Here is a 9352-nt window from a genome sequence, read left to right on the forward strand (position 1 = left end):
AAAGTAAGCAAAAGAATCTTAAATGAGAACTAATACTTTTTCTCCTTTCACATAATGTAGAGTTAAATGGTGACCTGAATGAACCAGAATGATATTAAACAAATTTTGAATTTAGGATTTGGTGTATTGTCTCATTTTATGGCATTGCATATGTCATTTACTAAGAATTATTTCTGTCATATTTGAAAACTGGAAAAGGTACAATCAAGAATGACTGGATTGGAGGTTATTGAAGTTGCTGTTAGGCAGGGACACCAATAGAACTCAGCCCTAAGGAATGCTGTTTTCTGAAGATGGCTCATTGATATTCAAATATAATTAAAGAAAACTGGGTGACTTGTGAAAATATTTATATTTTGAGGTCCTTAGTAAACACTTTTGAAGTTTCTAAAAAGAAAAAGTCAACAGCTTCAATATCTAGTTTTCTGTTTTGCATGTGTAACCTGTTGACTACCAACATTTTACAGCTGTTGTTGTATACACTGAAAATAAAGTTGACAGGCTAAAGTGAAGCATTTCCTAATGAATTCTTTGCCCAGTGATACAGGGCTGATGGTACATTAAGTTTTATTGTTGCTGTGACAAATTATCACACATTTAGTAGTGTAGAGAACACAGTTTATTGCCTTCGAGTTCTGCACGTAAGTCTGGCAGGTCTCACTGGACTAAAGTCAAGATGTCAAGGTGTTGGCAGAGCTGCATTCCTTTCTAGAGGGCCTAGGAGAAAATTTTTCAGAGTCTTTTCTGTCTTCAACCAGACACTTCTATTCTGTGGCTCATGGCTCCCTTCCTCCATCTTCTTTTTTTTTTAACTCTATATTTTATTTTTTTTATTATTATACTTTAAGTTCTGGGGTACATGTGCAGAACGTGCAGGTTTGTTACATACGTATACATGTGCCATGTTGGTTTGCTGCACCCATCAACTCATCATTTACATTAGCTATTTCTCCTAATGCTATCCCTCCCCAGTCCTCTACCCCCTGACAGGCCCCAGTGTGTGATGTTCCCCTCCCTGTGTCCATATGTTCTCATTGTTCAACTCCCACTTATGAGTGAGAACATGTGGTGTTTGGTTTTCTCTTCTTGTGTTACTTTGTTGAGAATGATGTTTTCCAGTTTCATCCATGTCCCTGCAAAGGTCATGAACTCATCCTTTTTAATGGCTGCATAGTATTCCATGGTGCATTTGTGCCAAATTTTCTTTATCCAGTCTTTCATTGATGGACATTTGGTTTGGTCCCAAGATTTTACTATTGTGAACAGTGCTGCAATAAACATATGTGTGCATGTGTCTTTATAGGAGAATGATTTACAATTCTTTGGGTATATACCCAGTAATGAGATTGCTGGGTCAAATGGTATTTCAAGTTCTAGATCCTTGAGGAATCACCACACTGTCTTCCACAATGGCTGAACTAATTTACACTCCCCCACCAACAGTGTAAAAGCATGCCTATTTCTCCACATCCTCTCCATCATCTGTTGTTTCCTGACTTTTTAATGATTGCCATTCTAACTAGTGTGAGATGGTATCTCATTGTGGTTTTGATTTGAGTCCTCTCACATGGCATTGCACTGATCTACAGTTCTGCCTCCTCTTCCACTTTTAATGAGCTTTGTAATTTCATTGGGGCCACCTAAATCATCCCAGATAATCTCAATTCAAGCTCCTCAACTTAATCATACCTGCGGAATCTTGTTCCCATGTAAGGTAACACATACATGGATTTGCAGTATTAGAACACAGACATCCTTAGAGGAGTCATTATTCTGCCTAACACATATGGTTACCAAAGAGATTTATAAAACATTGCATTATGATCACTAGGTTTCTTTCCATGTATGTATATTCTATGACTCACTAAGTACATATACTGCTGACTCAGGAACCATTACGTTTTAGATAATTGTATGTTTTTACTGCTCATCTTGAGTGTTATTTTTGCTATCAGTAAAATATAGCTATTCTTATAAGTTTGTCTAAAAGTTGATTTAACTAGAGAGGGAGGTCTTAAACATTGAGTGGCAATTCTAGAAGTAACTAAAAGAATTTTCAGAGAAAAGAGGTGCCTCTGTCTAACAAAAAGGATCATCTGCAAATTTTGGAGGTCAAAGAATTAGCATCTCAATCTACCACATCAGCTTTATATTTTATTTTCATTTTTATATTATAGCATTAAATACACACATATTTGCATAAATATAGCAAGTAAGTATGCATTTGCAAAAATTTATAGGTATAAACTAGGGTATATATACATATGAGTATATCTGTATATGTTTATCTTATCAATTTTATTTTAGAATCACATTTGTTATTAAATATTTGAAAGTTTGGCAAATTTATACTTTTTAATTAGCATTTTAACTTCTATAGCTTACATGCTAGAGGCATATTTGATATTGTTGTTACAATATCAATATAAATATTTAATATATTTTATTAAATATTTAATTATATTTAAATATAAATATTTAATTAAATATTTATATAATTTTATATTTATATAATATATAATTACAATATATAATTTTATATTTATATAATATTTATATAATATATAATTAAATATTTAATTATATAAATATTTAATTATATTTTAGAACATATTGCTCATTCATGACAAAGTAGCGGGAGTTATAGAATATAAATAATATCAATGAAATGGAAACACTTCATTTTATTATTCATATCATAGTCACTAATGCAATACAGTTTGAGAGCAGCTAATGAGGTATTTTTTAAATTACTTCCAGAATTTAATCAAGGAATCAATTTGAAGTCACTGTACTATTAACAAGGATTCTAATTTTAAAGAAAAAATAAGGACCATGTTGCCTCATAAGGTTGTGGGGTTCAGATGTTCACATCTGTACACATTTCATTCAGATCATATGTTTATTGTCCTTGGGTTCACTATGTGATTTCTCACACTCATCTCTTTACCAAATGTTATAAACAATTTTAAATTGTTTTCATTGTAATCTCAAATTCTGATTGTGTATGTAATTTATTTTGATGGGAAGAGTAAAAAGGAATGGAAAATTTACACAATGTTTACATTTGTTTCAATATATTTCAAAATATACTTCTCAGCAGAAATGAAAAAAAAATCCGTTTCTTGAAATTGTACTTACAGCTGTGCATGACCTTTTTTTTGTTTTTGCCACTTTTAGTGGTCACTCATGTTTATGCAAATCTCCAATTTAATCAAACAAAACCCACCAGTGTTTCCACTGAAACTATTTTTTTTACTTTAGCCCACAGAGTTATTTCTTTAAACAATGCATGTACAGTTTTAAGTGTTGTGTTTAAATATGTACACACTTAGGTTTTAATTTATTTTTTCTTTTGCATAGAAAATATCACAAGGATTCTTCAATAATTAATAATTGTTTTTAAATTGTACCACTTCTGTTTTTTGGGTTTGACATAATTTGCCTTTAGTATAAGCTTGGTTAAATTATCTTAATGTCATTTTTAGTTCGTTTGGTTAAGCATAATCAAGTTAGCATATAATGTCCTAATAAATTATAAAAATATTTAATTTTAATACAGCATCAACTTTAACTCTTTCCAAACAAGATATAGCTATTTACATGAAGGTTGTGTAATATCAGCGTTCCTCTCAGGTGGGTTTATATGCATGCAGTTTATTTTTCATGTTTTTAAAACATAGTCATTAAATGTAAATCACATAATATTACCTACTGATTAATTTTCTTGTATTGATTATTTAAAATAGATATTCAGAAGAGATTGACCTCCCTTCAATGTTTGAATTAGTAGTCTTTGAAAGATGGTTATTAAAGTATGAGTAATGTATAGGGAGAAAGGAAGAAACATGTCTTTCAGGAAAAAGAGAGAAAAGAAGAGAGAGACTTTCTTTTTGCCAAGATCACTTTTAGTCACTTTACTTTTTTAAAAACCTCCACTTTTCCTTATGGAAAGCAGTAAGCATGTTATTTTTGTCACTAGTTACATTCTTTACTCCTTGCATAGTTTCCACGCCTAGTATGTTTAAAGAGATGGCTATAAAGCTCTTATGATGTGGTTTCTCAGGGACACATTGCTCCAAAGAATGGTCTGTGCATGTTTCAGCACACAGTGAGCAGATGTGGGAAGTCATTCGGTCTGTGAAAGGGGAGATATGGTGGTGGCATATTTCCTGTATTTCAGGCGTAGATTCTAATGGCTTAACTAATATCGGGTAGCAGGCGTAGAGCAATAATAAAGATCTAAGGACATTGAGATAAAGACCTAATAAAGAAGCCAATTTCTTAAATCCAAATATTATACTTACCAAATCTCATATCTTCTCGAGGTTGATCAACACCAATATGCTTTCCTTTTTCTTTTATGGTTTATATAGTTATTTTTAAAATTACTTAATGTGATTTCTCTTTTTAAAAAACTTCATGATTTTTAATTAACATTTTATTTGGAGGTAATTGTAGAATCATATGAAGTCATAAGTGTTAGGGAAATATAATTAAAAAGAGTCTTCTCCCAAGTCCATAAAACCTCTCCACAAAGTAAAAGAAATGAAATTATTTTAATATTTAATAAGCATTAAATTAGAATGTAATATGCATTATAAGCAGTCAGCTAAGAGATGCAAAGACAGAGAAATCTGATCTTTTCTTATAGCCAAGCAGATACAACTCATTACGTATGTATTTTCAAATAAGCAATAACTAGTCCTCAAGAAAGAGGACAGACTTGGCACTATTTGTCACATGTAATTCATCCTAAATTCACTTGGTAATTGGGGTGACCACCATCTATGTTAGCTAATTGGCTTTATCTAGAGGGAAAACAAACTGCGTTATCTCTTGATGATAGGAGGTAGTTATGCAAATTGAAGCAAGGGTCTCGCCTTGCTAATTTGGAGGTTAGGCTCCTGCCTTCCCATAGAAACTAGGAGATAGGGATGATGTCTCTCTTGAGGTTTGTATTTCAGAGAGAAGTCTCTCAAGTTCTTGAGAAAGCCAATCCTGGATCATAAGAGTGACAAAAAGGCCATCTAGAAGTCAAAAGGATTTACATACATTTCAAAGAGAGGAGAAAGTACTTACAATTACACATTTTCTAAAGTAAGTGCCTTGAGAAAAAAAGAGTACTTCTTATCTTCCCTTATTGTCCACAGAGAGAATTATGCCTCTTATTTTAATTTACATTTGTAATTACATAAGAAATAATAACGATGAGATCCTGTGTACCCTTTACCCAACTTCCCCTATAGTAATGTTTTACAAAACTGCAGTACGTTATCAAAACTTGAATATTAATGTTGATAAAGTAAAAAAAAAAAAAAGAAAATGTGGATTTGTTGATATTTGTTTCAGTTGCGCTTTGTAAGAGAAATAGGAAAAATGCAACTACTGCCTCTTCTTGGAAGAAAAAATTCCATCCTTATGATTTTTAAGCCTTCTGTTTGGTAGCCAACCAATAGACAATTATCAGTGTCTATGGTTTATTAAAGACAATATATTCCCATACCTTTGAATATATAATCAAATAAAACATGAATTATTTGAGTTTTATTCATGATTTTGATTAGGTATACCTCTTCTCTCCTTTGTGAAAAGTATATGGGATGGATTATACTGGTATGTTTCATCGACACATATGTAGGTTAAATCAGTACTTGACAGGTTTACACTACATGAATCAGTAAAATTGAAAGAGAAAGATTAGAAGTTACCAATATTGAAGATTTGCCAGCTATTTATTTTGTAAAGTAAAAATGAAACAAAATTTTTAAGATAAACATTCACTCTTTTTTTTTTTTTTTTTTTTTTTTGAGATGAAATCTTGCTCTGTTGCCTAGGCTGGAGTGTAGTGGCACTACCTTGGATCACTGCAACCTCTGCCTCCCGAGTAGCTGGGACTACAGATGTATATCACCAGGCTGGCTAATTTTTTTTTTATTTTTTTGTAGAATAAGTTTTTGCCATGTTGGCCAGGCTGGTCTCGAACTCCTGACCTCAAGTGATCTGCCCATCTTGACCTTCCAAAGTGCTGGGATTACAGGTGTAAGCCACCGTGCTCTGCCAGCATTCACTGTTTATTATCATAATAATGTATTTCCAAGTAATGAACATTTATTTTATCACCAAAATGCATACAGGTTACATATTTAGAATAAATAACTGATATTCATCACATAGGATAGTTAGAAACTTTATACAGCCAACATTTTTCTTATAAGTGAGGCATTTACAATTTTTAATAAAGAAAAATACATAAAACTTTTTGATAGTATAAGAAAAAATGGCATACAATTTTATTTTGTGGTCAATCATTGATATAGTAGGTGTCTTGACCCAAGTTTTTAAATGTGGTAACCTGTTTCTTGCAGTACAACATAAAGTAGAGCACAACATCCAACGTGTTTATATATTTCATTTTTATGGGCCTTATAAAACAATTCAATTTTATATAGATATTTTTTAAAAATTGCAAGTACTACTAATTTACTTGATTATTCAGAATATTCTAGAAAACTAAGAAGATCTAAAATTCAGTGCCCTTTAGGCTGCCTATGCCACCAGTTGGTGACATTTCACCAGGTGTGTAGCCAGTGAAGGCTCTAGACAGGAGGATTCATTGTGTAGCCAACATATTGGCTGAGGAACACAGGGTTGTGATTGTTCCACAAGGATCACCTAAAAATTTAGCTGAATTATTCACAGTAGCCGCAATATGGAATCAATCCAACTGTCCATCAATGGATAAACAGATTTTAAAATGTTATATCTATGTTATATATAATATATATAAAATGTTATATATAATATATAAATATATATATAAAATGTTATGTAATATATATATATACACTGTGTACATATATTATATATACACTATATATAATATATATATAATGTACTCTGTGGAATATTATTCAGCCATAGAAGAGAAGAAAATCCTGACATTTGTGACAACAACATGGACAAATATGAAGAACTTATGCTAAGTAAAATAAACTGAACACAGAAAGGCAAATATTGTCTGATTTCACTTACCTATGGAATCTAAAAATGTCAAAAGTATAGGAACAAAAGTAGAACAGTGGTTGCCAGGGACTAACTCTGGGGGAAATGGAAGGATGTTGGCCAAAGGTTTCAAATTTTCAGTTTTAAGATGAGTAAGTTCTAGGGATCTAATGTACAACGTGGTGACTATAGTTAATACTGTATAGTTTACTTGAAATTTGCTAAGAAAGCAAATTTTCAGTGTCCTCACCCCCCATCCCCCCGCACCCCCAACACACAAAGGGTAACGTAACCATGCATGGCAATGGATGTTAATTAATTTGACTGTTGTAGTCAGTACACAACATATATGTATAGCAAATCATCACACTGGGCCCCTTGAATGAATACAATTTTTAATTGCTAAATTTATATTTTATAATTAAAAAGTAATTAACTGAAGTTGAAGCCCTGGGCTGTAAATGTTGCACCAAAAGTAAGTATTGGTTCAGTGATGTGCAATAGTGAAGTACTGAGTAAATGAAAGACTAGACCTAATCCAAGGTCACTCTAAATGTGAGCTCCTTTCCATCTAGAGAGAAATGGACAAGCAGCAAATGATCTTTGGAGAAGATGTGGAATCCTAGCCATTGAAGGCAAGGTATTTTATTAAATTTTTGCTGTCATAGAACATCTGGCATCCTCATGGATGGGGGAGTCAATGTTCCAAGGAGAGAGGTAATTGCACTTCTAGGACAAGATAGTAATAACAGCTAGATAAAAATGTGGTGTTAGTAGATTTTTTGAAAAGTGATATATGGAGGAGTTTGCAAGATGAGGAAGGCAGTAAACTTGGAAAAAGGGTGACAAAAACAAATAAATGCCAGGCAAATGAATGTTTCAGGCGTGTTTTTAAAAATATTAATAGTTTTTTAGATTACTAAATCACCATGTTTGTTATAGAAGTTTAAGGAAATATTGAAAAATATACAGAAGAAAAATATCAAATCATTCATAACTCTCTAACCTAAACAGATTTGCTGTATAAACATTTTTCCTTACTTTAGGAAAATAATTACAAATGAACTTGGAGATTTTTGCATTTGTTTCACATAAAAGGCATATACTGTACAAAGACCCACACAGATAAGAAAATGAGCTTGATACAGCTTGGATAGGAAAGAGGTGGTGACATACAAAGTCAGAAATTTTAAAAAATAAAAAAAGACTGGCATATAAGAAAACCTAAAATATTTTAAACATGGTAGCTCACTAATGATCACTGTTAGACTTGTCCTTGAGTCACATCAAACATTCAGTTGCACAGAATTCTTCTTGAAGATTTGCTCATAGTTTAACCACACTGCTGTGAAAATGTACATCTAGGAAGCCGATAATAGAATGGTAAAACATCATTAATTTGAGGGATACAGCCTTACGGATAAAATTGTCTTTATTATTGTAGTTATCCTTGTGGTGCATTTGGAAATTTTCGCAGGTAATTCCCTTTGTTTCCATTGCAACAGAACGCGGGAAAATAATCTGGTCATTTATACGTCATTTAAAATGTATTATATTTTTTTGTGCATGTGTGAGACAGTCTTGCTTTGTTGCCCAGGCTGGAGTTCAGTGGCATGACCTTGGCTCACTGCAAACTCCGCCTCCCGGGTTCAAGCTATTCTTCTGCCTCAGCCTCCCAAGTAGCTGGGACTACAGGCACGTGCCACCACGTCCGGCTAATTTTTATATTTTCAGTAAAGATGGGGTTTCACCATATTGGCTAGGCTGGTCTTGAACTCCTAACCTGGTGATCTGCCCTCCTCAGCCTCCCAAAGTGCTGGGATTACAGGCATGAGCCACTGCATCTGGCCAAAATGTATTATACTTATTAAACATCCTTAAGCCTTGAGGATATCATAAGGAATTCAATTTCCTAGTTAAACACTTACTTTAAATAAAATATGGCATCTAGTGGCACACATAACCTTCAAATGAGCCAAAATTAATCACTTGTGATTCTGAACTAAATTCATAGATTTACTATTACCAAATTCCTGGAAACATTTATAATAACTATTATTGTTGACAAGATAGTTTCAAGGACATTAATATAGCAGCATAACATGATTATTTAATATAATAATGTGATGACAATACACATATGGTTGCTACATTTTGAACATAAAATTTTTATTTTCTAAAGAACCGTATTATAGATTTTCAAAAACTGAATAGTGATATTTTTATGTAGCCAAAGAATAATGTTAAAAGTATACAATGTTTCTTCTTGGTACATAATTTAAGGATAACAATCACTGATTTCTCGCCTACTCATGAATATATGTATGTGTGTACACACATATATGAG

General features: G+C 32.5%; 1 annotated feature.

The window, feature by feature from the left end:
• Positions 4713-5224: an enhancer, noted in NCBI's record as "NANOG hESC enhancer chr13:86193480-86193991 (GRCh37/hg19 assembly coordinates)". NCBI's record gives its function as "activates a minimal SCP1, AML or CMV promoter by ChIP-STARR-seq in naive H9 embryonic stem cells {active_cell/tissue: H9 hESC(naive)}" and the evidence as "EXISTENCE:reporter gene assay evidence [ECO:0000049][PMID:30033119]".

The sequence above is a fragment of the Homo sapiens genome, chromosome 13, assembly GCF_000001405.40.
Source record: "Homo sapiens chromosome 13, GRCh38.p14 Primary Assembly".
Lineage (NCBI taxonomy): Eukaryota > Metazoa > Chordata > Mammalia > Primates > Hominidae > Homo > Homo sapiens.